Raw genomic sequence first — 21700 nt, forward strand, 5'->3', positions numbered from 1 at the left:
TCCTGAGAGGGAGCTGAGGTGTGTTATGCCACTGAAAATAAGAAATGGCGGCATTTGACTACTTTTCAGGACAAAGTAATATCTGGAGAGTTCCTGATTTTAAGTTTTTCATCCGTGAGTACTTCTTACACGGTAGGCTGTGCTGATGCGTGGCTGCTGGCAGGCACTAGCCGGAGACAAAATGATTAAGGAGTGTCAAATAAAATGGAAAACAAAATTAAACTCAATCCAGTACCTTGTTTTGCTGGGTTTTTCTCTTTCTCTTGTTAACACACATTTTGGTTTGATTTTTCTGGCACTTCCATATGACAGAGTTAAATTTGTTGTTAATTAATTTCTAGTTTATACCTTTGCAGATGTTTGATCTTATTCCCCAAATTCCCTGACTCCAAACGGGTTTGAGATTCACTGTCTTTTTTTTTTTTTTTTTTTTTTTTTGAGACGGAGTCTCGCTCTGTTACCCAGGCTGGAGTGAAGTGGCGCAATCTTGGTTCACTGCAAGCTCCACCTCCCGGGTTCATGCCATTCTCCTGCCTCAGCCTCCCGAGTAGCTGGGACTACAGGTGCCTGTCACCACGCCTGGCTAATTTTTTTGTATTTTTAGTAGAGACGGTGTTTCACCGTGTTAGCCAGGATGGTCTCAATGAGATTCACTGTCTTAATATCCCACTCAAGTGTCTCTAAAGGTATGTTAGGCCTTAAAAAAGCTCACCTATTTGTTTTCTTCAACTATTACAGCCATCAGATTGGTATGAAGTAATACATCAGTGTACTTACCTGAGATCTTAGGTCTTTCCCTTTGAAAAATACCTTCAGTGTAAGTACATTTGGAATCAGTCTTCCATGTGGGATAAATTTCAGCCTTTGCGTCTAGCGACCACAAATGCTGGCTGTTGTACAATATTTCATTTGCGCAACAGAACCGATTAGATCTTCTTTGTAAAGAGGGTTGCTTTGTTTCAGCAAAGCGTTTTTTTTGTTGTTGTTTTGTTTTGTTTTTTTCTGAGAGGGAGTCTCGCTCTGTCACCCAGGCTGGAGTGCAGTAGCGCAATCTCGGTTCACTGCAAGCTCCACCTCCCGGGTTCAAGTGATTCTCCTGCCTCAGCCTCCTGAGTAGCTGGGAGTACAGGCACCCATCACCACGCCTGGCTAATTTTTTGTAGTTTTAGTAGAGACAGGGTTTCGCTGTGTTAGCCAGGGTGGTCTTGATCTTCTGACCTCGTGATCCACCTGCCTCGACCTCCCAAAGTGCTGGGATTATAGGTGTGAGCCACTGCGCCTGGCCGCGTTTTTTTCTTCTAGAATAAGTTCTGTTTCCTAGAGGCCACAGGGTGTTGTCTTGGCCTGAGGAATGTTGGTATCCCAGGAAAACTTGTTCAGTATCTGAACTCTTCCCATCTCCCATCCTGCAGAACAAAATCACATAGCCTGAGTGGTTATTATTATTACTTTGTTGGAGACAGGGTCTCGCTTTGTCACTCAGGCTGGGGTGCAGTGGCACAATCATGGCTCATTTCAGCCTTGAATTTCCAGGTCAAGCAATCCTCCTGCCTCAGCCTCCTAAGTATCTGGAACTGTAGGCATGTACCACAATGCCCATATTTTTGAAGAGACAGGGTCTCACTGTGCTGCCTAGGCTGGTCTGTAACTCCTGGTCTCAAGTGATCTTCCCACTTGGGCCTCCCAAAGTGCTGGGATTACAGGTGCAAGCCACTGTGCCTGGCCTCTGGGGACTTTTAAAGGTTTAATCCAGCTAAGCATATTTATATATGTAATGCAGGGAAAGCGTATTATTTTTATATTAATAATAGATCACGGCATCTTGGCAGGCTGCATGAGCTTCAGGTGGTTTGGAGGATGGTGATGTTTTTGGACTTCAGGCTTTGCGTTTCTCAGCTCTTCCTTTTCATCCTCTCTTAAGATAGCTTACCCCTTGGGCCCTCAAGTTCTCTTTTACCCACAGCTCTGTCTTTATGCTTGCTTCCTGTGTAGCTATGCAGAGAGGGAAGAATTCATTAAGTAGAGAAAGATGAAATGGTTGGACCGAGTACAGAAATGGGAACTGCAGCTGCAGTGATGTGGGCTCTGAGAAGCCTCTGCCTTAGCAGATACCATTCCAAATTTAGGGGAGAGAAGGACCCGTTCTAAGGCTGAAGCATTTCTCTCTTGCTCACACCTGGTCCTTCCTGTCACACCTGTTGTATACCAGGTAGACAGGAGAGCCGGCCGTGGACTGAGGCAGCCGTTTGCTGTTTGATTTGTGAGTTTCATCCCAGCCAGTGTGGGCTCCTGTGTTGCAGGCCAAGCCAGACCAGGGGAGCACTTGCCCTTGTTCTTGCTGTGTCTCTCCTTGAGAGCTTTCCACCCCGGCGTTCTGAGGATCATAGCACATGAACCCCTAGCTGTTCCTGGAATGCTCAGGGCTCCCAGGAAAGCCTGATGTAGGTGAAAACAGAAAGCCAAAGGCAAAATGCTCTCCCCTTCCTGCTGGACATATGTGTCACTGCTGTCCTCTTTCTGCTTTATCTTTCCAAATAGGAAGAATTTTTAAAATTTCCCTTCCAGTATAAAGCCTTTATTCGTCCCAAAGCTGTTGATCAAGGTTCTGCTATATGCCCAGCATGTGCCAAACCTGCAGAACCAGTGGGAGCCAAACTTGACATTGAGCTGACCGTCACCAGTCTCACTAGTTTAGCAAGAAGGCAGGCTGTGTGGGGTAAAGGTAGCCTCGCTCTGCAGAGAAAGGAACAAGGAGGAGGGACGGGACACCACTCACCTTGCAGCATGGATGTGACCGTGTGTGATGACATATGAAATGCTTGGGCCATAGCTACTCTGTGAATGTTACCTTTGTGATCTGATAACCACTTGACTTGTGATAAGCAATTAAGCCTGGAAGGAAACGGAAAAAGATTTTCCCCTTGTTGAATCAAATGTCTCTGGGCATGTCCCCGTGTTCAAAAAAACTGTATGGAGCATCTCCTTCACCAAGGGCTTTACATGGGCTGCAAAGAGCAAGACAGCATTTTCCTAAGGTACCTGGCACCTGGTGGGGAGACAGGACCTCCATGAAAGCAACCGAAGTTCAAGGGCGGTTACATGAGGCTTTGCGGAGGGGTGGGAGAGCCGGCCATCGGGTAGGACGCCCCAGCCTCTGCTGCAGACTGTTTAATGCACATTGCTGCTTAATTCTTACAGCAACCTATGGGGTAGGCACTGTTTTCATGATCCCCATCTTATAGATGAAGCAGCTGTGACTCTGGGTTGAATGAGTCCCTCTGGGTCATGCACAAGATCTGCCTCATGCCTCTGTCTGCTCCACGTTGCTCCTCACCCAACCACCAAGGCGTGTGCTTCACAAATTTGTCTCAGTGAAATGAACCTGTTTCCATAACATGTTTCCTGAAAGGAATTCTGTCACTCTCTCATTGACCCATCACTCATTGTCACAGCTGCCGTGGGCAGCTGATACTGGTGACAAGGTAATATTTTTCACACGGGAGAGAGCGCTGCAAAGACGAGAGTGTGGAATTGATGGGTCCCTGGGAATGTGACAAGTCTGTTAAGGTGGAGACCTTTTCAGCCTCATATGCATAAAGTCTTCGCGTGTTAGGCTTTGAAGAAAACTTAGAGCTCACCTGTGTGTGCGTGCATACGTGTGCATGTGTTTTTGTGTGTGTTTTGAAAGGTACATTCAGAATTATAATTTTTTACTTGGAAAGCTAAAGACATGGGCTTTGTAAATAGTCTATAGGTAGAGGTGGACACACCCTCTTGGCAGGTGAACTGTCTGAATTTTTATATTTACTTTTTATATGAGAAAATCAAAAGAAGTGTTTTGCACTAGATCATACTCTCAGTAGCAAACAGAGTGGAGGAATTGGTGACACTTTCTAGCCACTCATGTTTCTGCTGTGTCTCAGGGCTACCTGGCTCTCTCTCCCTTTCCTGACTCCTTCTGCGCCCAGAAGTAACCCATCCGGAGAGCTACCCAGTGTGTTTATCAGGCAAGGGCTGGGGAGGTTAGAGCATGTTGTCACGTTTGCTCATCATGGAGATTGGCAGCTTTTGTTTTGTTTTGTTTCTGTTCTGTGGCCACAGTTGTCACTGAGTATTTGGTTTTGGTTAGGAAGGGAGTGTTGGGCCTGGGCAAGGTTCATCTCATTAGCTAAGTTCTAATGGAGAAGGGGAATGTGAAATAATCATTACAAGTGTGGGGAATGTCTCAAAACGGGAGATAAAAACAGTGAAGGGCATAGCCAGGTCACTCTTGCTGAAGTGGTGGGATCTCCTAACTGCAGGCAAAATACGTTAGCAGTAATAACTGTCCTTCCTGGAAATGAAAGTGCTGGGGAAGAGACAGGTGGCAGAGGGTGGGGTACAGGGTGGATATGGGAGCGAATAACAGGGTCCTGACTTACCGAATGGCAGCCAGGGTGCAGTGATCTCTCAGAAGAGGCCTGAGGCTACAGAGAAGGGAGCCAGGTGAGGTGGAGACAGCAGGAAGGATACTGTGGAGAAGGAAGCTGAGGTGTGAACACAGAGGAGTGGCTCTGTGAGAAGTGACAGGGCCCTCGAGACAATGGCACCTCGGAAGCAACGAAGTGACGTGAGTGTTCAGTGGTACGCTGCTGTGCAGGGGAGACAGCTTGTTCATCCTCTCTCCTGTTGAGTCGTCTTGGAGGTGGGCAGCATGTTGAGCATACGCAGGCGCTGGACGATCCTCACGCCAGGCGCCCTGCCCCGCACTTCCTGCATCAGCCTGTGGCTTTGAGAGCCGCCTTGCTGAGAGTGGCCTTACTCACTTACCGCTCCTAAATGGTGGTGTCCATTGTTCTAAATGAGGCGGGATGTAAATTACCATACAGTCATCCCTTGCTTGTCTGGGGGGGATTGGTTCCGGGACCCCCCATGGACACCCAAATCTGAGGGTGCTCAAGTCCCTCATATAAAATGCCATAGTATTTGCATATAACCTAAGTGCATCCTCCTGTAGATGCTAAGTCATCTCTAGATTACTTACAATACCTAGTACAATGCAAATATCATGTAAATATTTGTTACATGGTATTGCTTAGGGAATAATGACAAGATAAAAGTGTGTGCATGTTCAGTAGAGATGCACTTTTTTGAGTATTTGTAATCTGTGGTCGGTTGAATCTGTGGATGCAGAACCCACTGATACGGAGGGCTGACTGTATTAAAAATTAAAAATTTGAGCCAGGTGTGGTGGCTTGTGCCTGTAAACACAGCTACTCAGCAGACTGAGGTAAGAGAATTGCTTGAGCCCAGGAGATCGAGGCTGCAGTGAGCTATGATCACACCGCTGCACTCCAGCCTGGGTGACAGCAAGACCTCAACTCTAAAAGTACAAGTAAAAAAGTAAGAGAGGTGTTTGGAAATCATCCTCTTTTCACCAAGTCATATTAACCGTGGCTTAAGTGGGACCTTCTAAGTGTGGTCTCCATATCCCATCTTCACCTCCACGGTTACAGAAACAAAAACATGAAGAAGAGGAACTTGCTAAGCTACTGATCTGTGATTCCCCCGGTCTCTTTCCTTTTCCAAGTTCCCTGGTTGTAGCCAGCTGGTCTTTTCTGCTCCCTCACCTGAAGGGAGATTTCTGGTAAAAGTAGAAGTCCTGCAAAGACATTTTCCTGCCTGGCCGTTGTTTTTCAAAAGCTTGGGACGATTTTGTTTGTTTATTTGTTGGTATGTATGTATGTATGTATTTAGAGACAGACTCTGTGTCTCCAAGGCTGGAGTGGAGTGGCACACTCTTGGCTTATAGCAACCTTCGCCTCCGGGGTTCAAGCAATTCTCCCACCTGAGCCTTCTGAGTAGCTGGGATTACGTGTGCCCACCAGCATGCCCGGCTAATTTTTTGTGTTTTTAGTAGAGATGGGGTTTCACCATGTTGGCTAGGCTGGTCTCGAACTCCTAACCTCAAATGATCCACCTGCCTCAGCCTCCCAAAGTGCTGGAATTACAGGCATGAGCCACTGCACCCGGCCTGTTGTCTTTTTAAAGAGACTCCTTTGAGAAGACAGCTAGGGGCTAAGGGCTCCATGGCAGGCCCCAGAACAAGAGAGACCTCCCAGGGAGGCAAGGCTCCAAGTCCGGGCAAAAATTCCAGCTTGCTTGTGTGCCCTGGGAGCAGAAAACCAGGACCCACAAACTGGCAGTGAGTGGGCCACTGTCTGCAGGTTGGAAGTCCTTTCTGCAAGGTATAAGCGCTGTACAAGCGCCACACTGTCCTGAAGGCTGGGGAGTGGGCAGGACCCCAATAATGGCTGAGACAGCCTTGCTGCCCACTCGGCAGGATTGCCTTGGAGTCTTGATCAAGATGCACTCAGCAGCTCCTTCTGGCACCATTGAGTTTCATACTCACACACAGCATTTCTGATGTATTTGGATGAGGCCTTGTAATTACACAGCAAGGACAGGTTGTCCATTTGCCCTCACCTACTGCCTGGACAGAGTATAAACTTAAAAAACTTTCTAAAATGAATTAATCCACCCATGAAGTTCTCCTCGCAGGCAGGTTGGTATTGATGTCTTGGGGTCCTGCACTATGCCAGGCCCAGCGTCTGCCTCCGTCAGACCTTCCATCCCACCTGATGATTGGGGCTGGTCTAGGATGTTACCTCCCACATCCAGGGGAGGAAGTGAGGCCTGGTGAGCGGACTTGGTCAGGCTGACAGGTAGATGGACTCTCCTCCCCAGCGGGTCTCCATGGGGAACAGTTGGCACCTGCCCTGAACTGCCACACCACACACTCCCTGTGCTCCCCAACCCAGGCTGGGAATGCCCACTCTCTCCTATATCCAAAATAGTTATATTTATTTTTAGGGATGTTGGAAAGGGATGCCTCTTAAACCCCATCTCCCCTGGGGAGATCATCTTGTCGGGAAGAAATGGCAGGACCTCTTCCCTGTACAGCTCGTCCTGGGAGCATTGTTGGAGTGGGGGCCGTCTTCTGAATGTGGCCAGGGCCGTACTGTCAGACACATGCATCTGCCTCAGTTAAACAGGCTCTGAGGATGGCCGCCTGGCTTGTCCTCTGGTTTGAAAAAGACAACTACAGCCCCTTTGCATCAGCCTGTAGGAGGTAAGGAACCCAGAACTGGGCAGGCTGTGCTCTGTTCGGTTTCTGACCCCAGAGACTGCTCATGGGCCCTCCTCCTTAAACGTCGAGTCCCTCTCAGCTTTTCTTAAACTGCCCCTCAAATGCACTTAGCACAGACGCAAGCAGAGCCCCGGGGCTTGTCTCGGGGCACCGCCCAGTCACTCATTGGTCATTGCAGAGTCACAGTTAGACAGGAGGAAGAAGTTCTGGTGATCTGTTGCGCAGCAGGGTGACTATGGTTAACAATGACGTATATTTCAAAATAGCTGGAAGAGAGGGTTCTGAATGTTTCCACCACAAAGAAATGAGAAGTATTTGAGGTGATGGATCTGCTCATTACCCTGATTTGATTACAAAACAGATACATGTAGCAAAACACCACATCATGCCCCTGAGTTCGTTTGTTTTGTGTGGCTGTGAAGGAACACCTGACGCTGGGTAGTTGATAAAGAGAAGAGGTTTCTTTGGCTCCCAGTTCTGCAGGCTGTACAAGAAGCATGGTGTCAGCATCTGCTCGGCTTCTGGGAAGGCCTTGGAGGCTTTTAGTCATGGTGGAAGGTGCAGGGGGAGCAGGCATGTCACATGGCAAGAGAAGGAGCAAGAGAGAGGAGGAGGTGTTACTCTATCCCAACCACCAGCCCTCACATGGACTAACAGAACAAGAAGTCACTCATTCTCATGGGCAGGGCACCAAGCCATTCATGAGGCATCTGCCCCATGCCCCAGACACCTCCCACTAGGCCCACCTCCAGCTTCAGGGGTGACATTGCAACATGATTTGGAGGGGACAAACATATCAACCCCATAACTGTGTATAATTATTATGTGCCAATTAAAAGTAAAACAAAACTGAACATTTATGGAGCCCCTGCTGTGTGCCAGGCACTGCGCCTAGTGAGATACGCTTGAGTAAGGGGAAGGGCCTCCCAGGTGCAGCCAGGGTGCCAGCCACCTCAGGCACAGTACTTCTTGGGAGCCTACCATTCCATGAGACAATCAGGGGCGGTTTGCATTCTACTCCATAATCCATCCGTATCTTACTGTTTATGAAACTTGCATTTCCCTCAGGCTAGTCTGCAGTGAAAATGCTTTGTGTTTCTTCTGCGTAGCCAGGCTGTGTGTACCTCTTGGCACACTGGGCTTCCTGTGTTCAGCATCTAGAGTGCTCTGGTTCCAGAAGTGAGCTTCCATGGAAGCCGCCTCTGTCCAGGTGTCTTTCCTTGTTTCAGGCTGTCTGGCTCACCTGGTCTCCCAGCATCTGTCTATGAGGGCCAGGGGCAATGAGGACATTCCTGTGGCACATCAGGGAGGGAGATGAGCTAGTGGGTCAGAGGGGGTGGGTGGTTCTCCTTTCCTTCCTTCTCTTTGCTCCCCGCTTTGCACACTCTACATCCCTCCCCTGGTCTTTTCCTTTTCTCTTTCTGTTTCCCTCTTTCCTCCTCCTTCTCATTCCTTTTCCCTATTCCTCATCATTCCTTTTCCCTGTTCCTTGTCATTCCTTTTCCCTGTCATTTCCCTCTTCCCTTCCTCCTCTTACTGCCTCTCTCCTGTTCTGTGTCCTCTCTTCTCTTTCCTCTCTTCTCTTTCCTTCCTCCCACTTCTTGTCTCCTCACCCTCCTCACCCTTTCCCTTCCCCTTTCCTTCTTTCTCTTTGTTCCTTCTTAGTCCTTGATGTGGAGAGGAAATTCATAATTTCCTGCCTCTCCCTGTTTTTCTTGAGCCCTGGGAAGAGAAGCGCTGTATGCCGACAGCGAGTGAGCTTTCTCTGCCTGCAGTAATTGGATGGCTTCTTGGTACTCCGCACTGTCTGTCTTTGGCCGCAGCATTGAGTCTCTGAGCTCCTGGGAAGGGGAAGGGAATAGATAAAGCCGCAGGGCACGTTTTTCTCTGGGAACCACATGCAAATGCATGTGGGATTTGTCTTACATTGGAGGATTCCCACGTGTCGGGAAAGTGCTTCCCTGACATGACTACCGAGTCACTCCTGATAGTATTCACCCAGAACTTTTAATGACCAATTATTGTTGTAGTACAGATTTAAAATTGATGTTAATTGGCTGGTGATATTTCATATTTAAGACAGCCTTAACTCTAAATACCACTTTTCACCAATTGCCGCAAAACCGTTTGCTAGCGTCCTTCCTCCAGATTAACCTGATCAGGAGAGAAAACAGTCTGGAGCCACAACACACATCAGATGTAGGATGTTCATGTTGACGATGAGGATTGTATTTATTTTTTTTTTGCTAGAAAGCTGTTTTTCTAGTGGAGTGGGTGAGAAGGAGAAAGGGACCTGTTCAGTCTGGCTGTGGTCTTAGGGTTTCTGGGCATGGTGTGGTCATTTGCACCAGTTTCTGTCCTTCTGTGTTTCTGGGTTTTCTTTTCTTTTTTTTTTGAGATGGAGTCTCACTCTGTTGTCCAGGCTGGAGTGCGGTGGCACGATCTTGGCTCACTGCAACCTCCACCTCCCGGATTCAAGTGATTCTCCTGCCTCAGCCTTCTGAGTAGCTGGGATTACAGGTGCCTGCCACCGTGCCCAGCTAATTTTTGTATTTTTAGTAGAGACGGGGTTTTGCCCTGTTGGTTAGGCTGGTCTCGACCTCCTAACCTCAAGTGATCCACCCACCTTGGCCTCCCAAAGTGCTGGGATTACAGATGTGAGCCACAGCACCTGGCCATGTTTCCAAGTTTTCTTCACATGCCTGGTGTCAGTTCCCATCTTGCAGTTTCCTACACAGTCAGCCCAGAAGTCCCCTTCTCCATGAAGCTTTCTCTCCTTGCCAGGAGCGGCAGTTATACATCTGCCTAAACCTGTCTGATGCCTCCCTTGCTAGACTGAGTGGAAAGAAGGGGCTGCTGGCTTGTAGTGGGCAGGGCCGGGGGTGCTGCTCAACATCCTACAGTGCACAGGACATCCCTCCACAACAGAGAATATCCTATCCCAAAATGTCTACAGCGCCACCGTTGAGAAACCCTTGTCTCTAGTCAACAGTGTAAGCATTGTTTAGTTCCGATGTTTCTCCCTGTCCTTGTGCTTGATTCTTTGTAGGCAGGTTTATGTGAGGAGCTGCATCTTGGTCCGAGGGCTGGTGGTAGGGGTTGAATCTGTGCCTGCCCAGATACTTGTGTGACAGCATCCTCTCAATGCAGCCATCTCCTCAGCAGGACCCGGCCTGCCCCTGTAATGTGATTCCTGTTCCTATTTAAGGCAGGGCTCCTCCAATGGGGACAGTGTGGGAGACAGCTGACCACCTCATTCTTCTCATCAAGACACTCATTCCCCATTGACACTTGCACGCTCTTGGTTGCGGGAGGAGGAAATCCAGCTCAGATTGACAGGAAACAGATGACATTCATTGACTTGCCTGATGGAAAAGACCAAGGGTACAGCTTGAATTTTAGGGGCTTAGTGTCATCAGACTCAGCCCCCCCCCCCATCTTTCTGTCGATTTGCGTTGCTCTGTGTTGGCTGTGTTCACGCCCAGGCTGTGGTGGCAGGGGTGGTGGGTTGCAGCTCCAGGCCTGCATCGTCTTGGAAATGTCCATGCTGCCCCCAGGGGAAAGGCCCCTGTTTCTTCTGAGGCTGACAACAGTCCTGGAAGTGACTGTCTTTGACTCTCAATGGTCTAGGCCATACCACGTGTCTGCTGACCCCAGTGCCTGGGTAGGTGTGATACTGGGTCGGTGTCGTGTACCTACTCCTAAAGCCATAGGTCGGTGGGAGAAAGATGTTTTCCCCAAAAGAAAATGAGGGTGCTCTGACTAGCAGAAGGGAGATGGTGTTTAACTGGCCAAAATCAGCCCACGTCCACTGAAGCCTGCAGGCTGCCCACAGCTCAGGCTCGGCTTAGGGCCAGTTTGGTGAAATATGTGCATCTCCACACCAGGGTTTTTTAACTGCAGCACAGCTGACATTTTGGGCCAGGTAATTCTGGGTTACAAGGGGTCCCCTGTGCATTATGGGATGTTGAACAGCCTCCTGGCCTCTACCCAGCAGCAGCCACATCCACTCCCTAGTTGTGACAAGCTAAGATGTCTCCAGCATTGACACATGTCACCTGGGAGGCAAAACTGCCTTCTTGCGAAGTTTCACATTAATACTTACTGATGAATAGACAACTGAAATGAATAAAGAAATGAATGAGTTGATAGCCCATTATTTCCAATATTTCACAGAATCGAAGACACCGTCAAGTGTTAGACCCATCCTGATTTCAGAGATGTCACATGTGAAGATAATGCCTGTCTCAGAATCAGTAAAATCAGGGTGTTTCATCTTCTCTTCCAGAGGCCTGGGAGGTGAGGGTGGTGGGAAGCCCGTGGGTCTGCTGGAGGAATCAAACCTCTGCAGTGAGGCACATCCTGGTGTTGGCAAGTGTTTGACATGGATTCTCAAGATGGAGTATGGTGTTGAGTCGACTGAAACCCGAGTTCACACCTGTATGTGCTGTGAAGTTTCTTAACATCTCTGCATGTCAGTTTCTGTCTCCATACAAGGAGATAATCATAGCACTGACCTCACAGAGTTGATATAAGGATTAAATGAGATGATAGAGGTAAAGCCACTTAGTAGGACTGGCCCCTACTGAGTACTCAGTCAAGGTGAGATGAGATGAAGAGGCAGCCTCAGGGAAATGATGGACGCATGAGTCACCAAGCTCATGCTTCAGGGTGAACACTGATAGTCTCGCCCACAAGGCCCCATGTCCGCCCTGGGGGAAGTGATGAGCGAGGGAAGGAGGGAGCCACCAGCGCTGCTGAGAGCACCACCTTCTTGTCTCCTCCGCAGTTTGACAGCAAGATGGGAACACAGATGAGATAATGCCTGTTAGTCCTGTGTACTAGGTGCTATGCGGGGTACTTTTTCTGCGATACCTCACTTAATCCTCATGCCAGCCCGAGACATGAGGTGGTCAGTAGCTGCATTTTACAGATAAGGAAACTACGGCACAGGAAGGTTAAGTGCCTTGCCTAAGGTCATAGCTGGGAAATAATAGAGCTGGGCTTTGCACTCTGATCCACAATCTTTCGAAACCCAAGGTGTTGAAAACACAGACTGAGAAGCCAAGCCAGCAGCCACTGCTTTATTCTTCATGCTAAGAGTTAGAAGCCAAAAGTAATGGAGGCTACTCCTAAGAGCCAAGGAGGTGGAAATTCAGAGTAGGCTGCTCTGCCCTTTAACAAGTCCAGACAAAGATTTAGCCAGGGAGAGAGTAAAAACCAAGGTCTCAAAGGAGGTTTGGAGACCAAATGGGGCTTCAGTTCCCCAGGCTCTGCCAGGCCCTTGACCATGAATACTTAAAAGCCAGCTGTGTTGTAAACAGTGGAAATATTCCTAGATCTTTCTTGATTTGATTTCCCTTAACACATATAGGGTGTTCAAGGAAAACACTGGCCTCTTACTCTGTAACTGCAGCCGTAACTAGAATTTTCCTATCAGAGTGCTGTTAGATTTAAGGAGGTAAAGAATGGAGAGAACTTGACGCAATGTCTGACACATGGGAAGTTCTTAGGAAACATTATAGCTGCTGCCACTGCTGTCATCAACCATGATCACCATTGTCATCATTAGTTCCCCTCCTCCTTCCTCCTCAATCAGAAGCATCACCATCATTATCATCATCACCATCATTACCAGTTATCATCATCATCACCAACCATCACCATTATTAACCATCCATCACCATCACTAGCCATGCATCACCATCACCAGCCATCCATCACCATCACCAGCCGTCCATCACCATCACCAGCCGTCCATCACCATCACCAGCCGTCCATCACCATCATCATCCGTCCATCATCCATCACCATCATCAACCACCCATCACAGGCATCATCTATCCATCACCATCATCAGCCATCCATCCCTTTCATCGTCAGCCATCCATAGCATCATCACCTATCATCCATATCCTCACCATCATCAAACATTGTCATCAACAGTATTTCATCTTCTCTCTCCTTTCTTAGGGAAACTCATTTAAGAAAGAGGCAGCATTTTTCTCCTTAAAAACATACAGCTGGCAGGCTGTCTAGACCTAGGTTTGCAGCTTCCTCTGCCACTCAATGGCTGTGTGACCTTGGGAAGGTTATTGCACCTGTTGGGCCTCAGGTTACCCATCTGCAAACAGAGATGAAAATACCTCCCCTCATGAGGTGGCAGAGAGGAATCAGAGCTGTAATATGAAAGGCTCAGTAAATAGCCATGCTTCCTGTTACCACAGCCCTTGTGTATCTGTTTCCCCTGGTGTTTTTAATTAATGCAAAATTAGGCGGGGTGGGGCAGACTTGGTAACATAACTGTTACTTCGACAGTCTAGCAAGTAACTTCTTCCAAATCCCCTGCTGCAAAAAGCAGCTTGTTTCCCTCTCAGCTTCTTCTGGCAAGTGAGATGCTTGAACTTTGCTTCCCTCCTCGTCTTCCCTGGGCTCCTTGTCCCAACACCCACCTCCTGTTGTCTGGGCCAAGTCAGTCCAGCAGCAGAGTTGAGATTCCTCGTCCCATCTCCACTGTCCCATGCTCTCAAGGTTATAATACCATCCTCAGGGACTTCCTGAGAACCCAATCAGCAAACTACACTTTCACACACCTCTCTCTCCCAGCCCCTGAGAAGAGGCCTCCACATGGCCGCCAGCTCAGCTGCTTCCTTCAGCCCCCGACAGAGCAGTCTGACAATTTCACTTTTGTGAAGCCTGGCATGGAGCTGGGATTCACAGTCTCTCAGGATGAGGCTGCTGGTGGTGTACGGAGATAGGCTTTAAAGGTTGGACTGGAAATGCATTTCTGTATCTGGAACAGGTAGGAAAGAAACATCCGAAGCTTAAAGGAACAGCCCCACCCTGTCTACTTCATTATAAGACTCAGGCTTCTCAAAGCCCAGCTCAGGAAGAAACAAACACACACACAAAAACCCAGCCTCATAGTGTCATGCAGCAGTTGAGGTGAATACGAGGTGATACCAAGCCTTCATGCTACAGGCACAATGCAAGTTCCAAAGATGGACCCTCGGCTCGCTAAAGCCAGGAGAAGCATTTACTCACCAATGCATGGGGTTGTTTTTTTTTTTTAAACACAGAAATAAAATGCTTATTATTCCCATGCCGCAGGCCCTGGGAAAACATTCATCACATAAACGTAGATCATAAGAGCTGATGACTGAACAGCTGCCTGATGGCTCACAGACCGTCTCTACCCACTGCCTCCCGTCAACCTCAGGATGAACATCGGGCATGAGCAATGGCATCACTTCCAGATGAGGAAGCTGCAGCCGGCATCACTCAGCTCAGAGCCTCCCCTCCAGCTCAGGGCTTTGGGGCTCAGGCAAACCCTACGAGCACAGAGGGACAGGCAGATAACTGTATCCAAATGTGAAACCTTTGGAACGAAGGCTGGGGTAACAGGTGCCAAGTGCATTTGGGACATGCTTTTTTTTCTTCTTCTTCTTCTCGAGATGGAGTCTGGCTCTGTCGCCCAGGCTGGAGTGCAGTGGCGCCATCTTGGCTCACTGCAAACTCTGCCTCCCGTGTTCAAACCATTCTCCTGTCTCAGCCTCCCGAATAGCTGGGGTTACAGGCGCGCACCACCAAGCCTGGCTAAGTTTTTGTATTTTTAATAGAGATGGGGTTTCGCTATGTTGGCCAGGCTGGTCTTGAATTCCTGACCTGAAGTGATCCACCAGCCTCAGCTTCCCAAAGTGTTGGGATTACAGGCGTGAGCTACCGTGCCCAGCCTACAAGTTTTTGTAAGAAGAGTGCATGTCAGGGCCTGTGGCCAAAAGGTGATACTGTTGAGGTGGACAAGGGGCCTGGTGTCGGGGATAGTCCTGTTTCTCACCAGAGAGTGTGAGGTCCATGAAGTGAAGTTCTAAGCATATTCTGAGCTGGTTGGCCAGAGGGAATCAGGGCTACTGGCAGCCTTAGCTTTGCACATGTCTACGTTAGAGCCTCAGAGGCGTGATCAGAAAGATTTAGTTTTAAGAGGATGACTTTGTACTTTTCAGATTTCAGAAGCCAATTTCTCTTCCCAGGTAGCAGTGCAGCGACTTTCTCTTGTCGATCTCTATCACGGGTAAAATGAAGAGCCCTTCAAGAGCAGAGTGTGGGTCTGTCTAGGGTGTGGCCATTGCCCAAGGCCAGAGTCTTTGACCAGGAGGCCCCATGGTCAGTTTCTGTTCTTTTCCTTGCATAAGAGTTTTGATTTTGCTGTTTCTTTTCTCTTCCACTGCATACTTTATATGGAAAATTGAAGAGATAATTGAATAGGGAGGTTTTATCTCTTGAATGTGCTAATATCATGGAGATGATAATATTCTGTCTTAGGGCCCTTCCTTGGGCGACTAGAACCATGGTAAGCAACCTGCTTTGAGAGAGCTGGAGACTGCTGGTACCTGCAAATTATTACTAATTACATCTAAAAATCTTTATTAGCAGTAAGAGGCAGAAATAGCTTCAGAGCCTAGGGGCTTAATTAAATGTGAAATATGCAGGAGAGAAGTAGCTTATGAAGCAAGCAGGAATCAGGCTATTATTTATTTTGATTGTTGAAATAGACCTTGTTGTTCCGAGTGGAGTTCTATCTGGGGGGATACCTGTAACAGACAGTATCTTCTCCTCCGTCTCTCCCCTCTCTATACCTTCCTTCCCTCAGTTATTATGGATCAGACACTGTGTTAAGGATTAGGTTATAGTAATGAGAGAGTAGACTAGCTTCTTGTCATCATGGAATTACAGTCTGTAGTGAGGAGAAAATTAATACTAATCAACCACATCAATAAATGGAGGATAACCCTAACATGCCCGTCCATAGACAAATGGATAAATAAATTGGGGTACATTCACACAGTGGAACCTTGGGCTGCAAGGAGATTAAAGATGTGTAACTACAGGCAACAGTATGGCTGGATCTCATAAACAATGTTGAGTGAAAGAAACTAGGTACAAAAAGATACAAACAAAACACACCCAGGTGATTGCATTAATCTAAACGCAAAAGCGGGTGAGACCGATCTGTGCTCTTGGAGGTTGTCCTCTGGGGGTATGGTGCAGCTCGGCTGATGTGGGTCACTTAGGTTTTCAGTGCTCAGGGTGAAAGTGAGGGGTCAGGAGAGAGCAGAAAGCTGGATCACCCCGCACATGCTAAGAAACCAGGATGGCAACGTGGATGTGGCGGGTTAAGCAAATTGAAACTGTGGATAATCATTAGCTCAACAGATGCCATAAGATCAGAGTGCCCCTGAGGCCTCTGGTCTCTGGATGATGCCCATGTATTTATCACTTAGTCACCGGAGCACAGATCTTAGAAGGAGGCCCAGGAGCCCTGGCTGCACACGTAATTCCATTGCACGCTGATTCAGTTTGGTCAAGTCCACACTACCCAAATGACCAGAGTTAAAAAAAAAAAAAAATAAAAAAAATAAAAAGAGGGAATAGAAAACAGAGGCAGGGTGGGAAGTAGAGAAGAGGCAGATAGAGACAAGGGGAAAAAAATCCAACACGGATGGACAGACGTATCTGGTTTAAATCCCAGGGCAGCCTGGGCCAGTTCTACTCAAATAGAGTGTGTCCTGGAGTTTGCACAGATGATTTGGGCGGCCAGGGTCTGCTCTTCCCCAGCCAGGAATTCATTTCTGAATTCCTCTCGGAATTCCTCTCCTATTGTGAGCATCTTGTGCTGAGAGCTACATGTTTTTTCATGCTGCTTTTTTCTACCCTTGGGCACTGTTGACAGAAATAACCATTTCTGCTGTACCCACAAAACTTGGTGTGTTTTCTGCAGGGCTAACCTGGACTCTCTTGCAGGCAGACAGAACCATCACCCAGCCACAGCCTGCCAAGACCTTCAGGGATAGGCCTTGGGCATTGGCCAGAGACCTTTTAAAATTATTTTATAGGAGTACTAAAGGCTTACTGGGACAAAAAAAATATTTGGTTTTTTAGTTATCTTATTTTTTTTTTTTAAAAAGATACAGTACTGTTTTAATACTTTGGTATATCAGGTAGCTTGGGCTAAGTTATACTGTTGTGACAAACAGTCCTCAAACCTTGGCAGCTTACAACAGTAAGTTTATTATTCATCTGTTTCCCACTCATGCCACACATCCATCATGGGTCAGCTGTGGCCTGTGCTCACGCTGTCTCTATGCCAGGATCCAGGAAGAAGCAACAGCCTTTAGCCGGGGCTTGCAGCTCTCCTGGCAGGGGGGTAAGAGACAGTGGCAGGCCTTGCTCTGATCCTGAAAGCTTCTGCTCAGAAGTGACACGTCACTCCCTCAAAACACATGGTCAGGCCTGAAGATAATGAGCCGGAAAGTATAATCCTCTCACAGGGAGGAGCCCTGCAGGAGGGTAATGGGAACATCTGGTAGAATAGAAATATAATGTGCCTTCACAAGTAATACTCACTATAGAAAACCCCAGGAAGGATAGATATGTGTTACGTAGCCAATAAAAATGGTGATGTAGATCTAATTTTTAAAATTCTTTTTAAGGTGAATTTTATGGTATGTGAATTGTATCTCAATTTTTAAAAATTATTTATTTTTTTGAGACAGAATCTCACTCTGTCGCCCAGGCTGGAGTGCAGTGGCGCGATCTCAGCTCACTGCAGCCTCTGCCTCCCGGGTTCAAGCGATTCTTGTGCCTTGGCTACCTATGTAGCTGGGATTACAGGTGCATGCTACCATGCCCAGCTAATTTTTGTATTTTTAGTAGAGATGGGGTTTTGCCATGTTGACCAGGCTGGTCTTGAACTTGTGACCTCAAGTGATCCACCTGCCTCGGCCTCCCAAAGTGCTGGGATTACAGGGCCCGAGCCACCATGCCTGGCCAGTATTGTAGATCTAATATGTCAGCTTGGAAAGCTATTTATTATATATGCCAGAATGGGGGAGGGAGAAGCAGGTAACAAAAGAGAATGGATAGTTTAGGCTCATTTTTAAAAATTATAATTAAAATGTATATATTAGCATAGGAAAAGACATGGAAAGATCTAGGCCAGATGTAGCACCCCTTGGGGTCTGCAGAGCCTAGCTGGGAAATGACTCAAGGTGGTTTCTTCTCGGTGCCAACCCTCTGTCACCATGCAGGGTTTCAGACTCTGTGTTCCCTCATCTTCCAGGTTTGTTTGTCGTTGCTGTTGTTTTTTTTTGTGATGAAAATCTTGATTTCAATGTTAAAACCTCTTATTTTTAAATGTTGGCAACCAATTAGATGTTTTAACCTGCGTGAATTACCAGTTTGCCACCTCTGATAGGAACCAACAATGGCTTTCTCTGGGTAGTGAGATTTTGTATGTTTTGTTTTTCTTTTTTTTATTTATCTGTATTTTCTCAGTTTACCTTGAAGCCAGGTATTTCCTTTTGACAAATAGTAATTGGGGAACTGATAAAAGAAAAAAAATACTTTAGGTATAGGAATTGCTCTTGACTTTGTAATTCTCTATTCGGTTGTTGGTATTTAATCAAACAACAGTGACCCAAAGCATCGGCCATGCTTGGAGGTTAATAAAACGGCCAGAGACAATGCCTGTGCCAGGACAGGCTGAACCCCAAGAGGAAGTCACAGTGGGAAGAGGGTGCAGAGCGCCCTTGATGTCTTGCTGACCTTGAACATCAGGATTCTCTATGTTGGCTTCTGTTGACACAGAGCCCTGATGTGTCTTCTTGAAAATGACCCCATGACTGGGAAGATGCCAGCTGACTTGGTGGGAGAAAGGAGAAACCTTCTGAGGGCAAGTTCCCAGAGCAGTTGCTAAATAAGATCAGACAAAGCACTTAAACTCCAATTTAGCAGTTACCCGAAGCACAGCTCCCTGCAGCAGCTTCATTTGCCAAATGTGCCTTTTGCCTTTAAAGACACAGGAGATTGCATGAAGCAGAGAAAGATAATTTGTTGGATATAAATGTGAATGTAAGAGTAGGCCTTAGATTCAATACACACTGTTGAATATTCAGGGTTTTATTTTATTTTATTTTTCCCCCAACTGTAATTCCCTGCCTCATCACCCATCATGCAAATGTGATTCTTAGACATTTTCTAATGTTACTCTTTCCCTAAACAAGTAATCAAAACAGGGCTTTAAGCTGCATTTGGACTGCAAATAAGTTTAGTATAAAATGTAATTATTCTCCTTAAAAAATCAACAGAGACAATTTGGACATTGGAATGGCTTGAATTATCCTTAAACAGAACTCAGGGTGGTGTCCATTCCAAAGATTAAAATAAGGTAAGACCAGTCTTAGCTGGTAGTAGCCAGTTTCTTAAAAAATAAATAAATAAATAACTTTAAAAAATGCTAAAAGTAGTACATCTTCTTTATAGAAAATTCAGAAAATAAAGTTAGAAAGAAGGAAAACAAAGGACTCACATAGATACAGTTGCAATTAATATCTCCTTCTAGTTAATCCCACCACACAGATATGATTGCAATTAATATCTCCTCCTAGTTAGTCCCAATACATAGATATTTGATTGCAATTTATATCTCCTAGTTAATCCCAATACATAGATATTTGATTGCAATTAATATCTCCTTCTAGTTAGTCCCACCACACAGATACGATTGCAATTAATATCTCTTTCTAGTTAATCACACCACATAGATACTATTGCAATTAATATCTCCTCCTAGTTAGCCCAATACATAGATACGATGGCAATTATTATTATCTCCTTCTAGTTAATTCCAACACATAATATATGAGTGCAATTAATATTTCCTTCTAGTTAGTCTCACCACACAGATACGATTGCAATTAATATCTCCTAGTTAATCCCAACACACAGATACGATTGCAACTAATATCTCCTAGTTAATTACAACACACAGATACGATTGCGATTAATAGTTCTTTCTAGTTAGTCCCAACACATAGATACGATTGCAATTAATATCTCCTAGTTAATCCCAACACACAGATACGATTGCAACTAATATCTCCTAGTTAATTACAACACACAGATACGATTGCGATTAATAGCTCTTTCTAGTTAGTCCCAACACATAGATACGATTGCAATTAATATCTCTTCCTAGTTAGTCCCACCACACAGATATGATTGCAAGTAATATCTCCTTCTAGTTAGTAACAACACACAGATATGATTACAATTAATATCTCCTTCTAGTTAGTCCCACCACACAGACACAACTGAAATTAATATCTCCTTGTAGTTAATCCCAACACATAGATACGATTGCAGTTGATATCTCCTTCTAGCTTTTCTTCTGTGCATTTTTTTCTTTAGTTGGAATCGTGTCACATGTAAACGTCTGTGTTCTGCTTTTCTTTTTCCTCTAAGAGACAGTGTCTCATTCTGTCACCCAGACTGGAGTGCAATGACAAGATCATAGCTCACTGAAGCCTCAAATGCTTGGGCTTAAGCTGCCCAAAGCCCTGGGATTACAGATGTGAGCCACTGTACTTGGCCCTGCATCTGCTTTTTAATTTAACGTGAGATTTTTCTCATGTTACTCTACACTTTACACCAAAACCATCTCTTGCGGTGCACAGTGTTCCACCATCACGCTGTCATATCATTTCTCTGATTGTTCCTTTTGCTCAACATTTAAGTTTTTTTCTAATTTCTCCTTGTCAAACAGTTGTAGGGAACCATGTTGCTCTTCAGGCTTGTTTTGTATGTTACATTCTTTTCCTGAATAGGTTTGTGGTTAGAGGAGCCGGTAGCAGTGTGCTGTCTTAGAAAGGGCATGGACTTTTGTAGTAGATGGATACAGATTGCAATCTTGACTATTGTTTTCTTGCTCTCTGACCACAGGCAGCTTACTGAACTGCTGTGCTTTATTCAAGGGTCCTAAACTGGTATTGGGCTGTTGCCTGTTAGGAACCGGGCCACACAGCAGGAGGTGAGCCGTGGGCCAGCAAGCATTACTGCCTGAGCTCCGCCTCCTGTCAGATCAGCAGTGGCATCAGATTCTCATAGGGGCACAAACCCCATTGTGAACTGTGCATACAAGGGATCTAGGTTTCATGCTCCTTATGAGAATCTAATGCCCAAAGATCTGAGGGGAACCCTCAGTTCATCCCCAAACCATCAGTTCCCCCCCCAGCCCCAGTCCATGGAAAAATTGTCTTCCACGAAATTGGTCCCTGGTGCCAAAATGGTTGGGAACTGCTGCTTTATTTTCTTTGTCTGCACAGTGGGGGCAATGCCACCCAACTTGGAGGGTGGTTGTGAAGTGAAGGATAATGACTGTGAGGTTCCCGGCCTTGTGGGGGACACTTACATCAGTTGCTGTGTTTTCTTCTCCAAGAACAGACCTGAGGGGCAGTGACCTTGGGATCAGGCACACCTGCTTTGGAATTGGTCATTCCTGAGTTTGCATCCCAGCTCTGCCCTCAGAGATCTATAGCCTTGGGCAAGTTAACATTCCTAACCTCAGTTTATTCATTTGTAAAATGAGCATAGTGCATCAAAGCTTATAAAGTAGTTATTAGGATCAAATGAAATTAATAAAGTGTTATTACTTGTAAAGCACTTATATAGTCCCAGTAATATAGCTCATTCTGAATACATGACAGGCTTTATTGTTATGACTGTTACTATTAC

At 46.4% G+C, this 21700-nt stretch overlaps 1 protein-coding gene across 19 annotated transcripts in view, besides 1 other annotated feature; it reads left to right on the forward strand.

The window, feature by feature from the left end:
- The window catches only part of SNX29 (sorting nexin 29), a 597554-nt gene that overhangs the window by 432275 nt on the left and 143579 nt on the right, over nucleotides 1-21700 (forward strand). The gene's annotated exons all lie outside the window — the stretch shown is intronic.
- Nucleotides 17244-17538: an enhancer, noted in NCBI's record as "tiled region #5052; HepG2 Activating non-DNase unmatched - State 7:EnhWF, and K562 Activating DNase matched - State 8:EnhW". NCBI's record gives its function as "activates a minimal TATA promoter and a strong SV40 promoter by Sharpr-MPRA in HepG2 and K562 cells {active_cell/tissue: HepG2 | K562}" and the evidence as "EXISTENCE:reporter gene assay evidence [ECO:0000049][PMID:27701403]".

Source organism: Homo sapiens, chromosome 16 (assembly GCF_000001405.40).
Source record: "Homo sapiens chromosome 16, GRCh38.p14 Primary Assembly".
In the NCBI taxonomy this organism is placed as follows: Eukaryota; Metazoa; Chordata; class Mammalia; order Primates; family Hominidae; genus Homo; species Homo sapiens.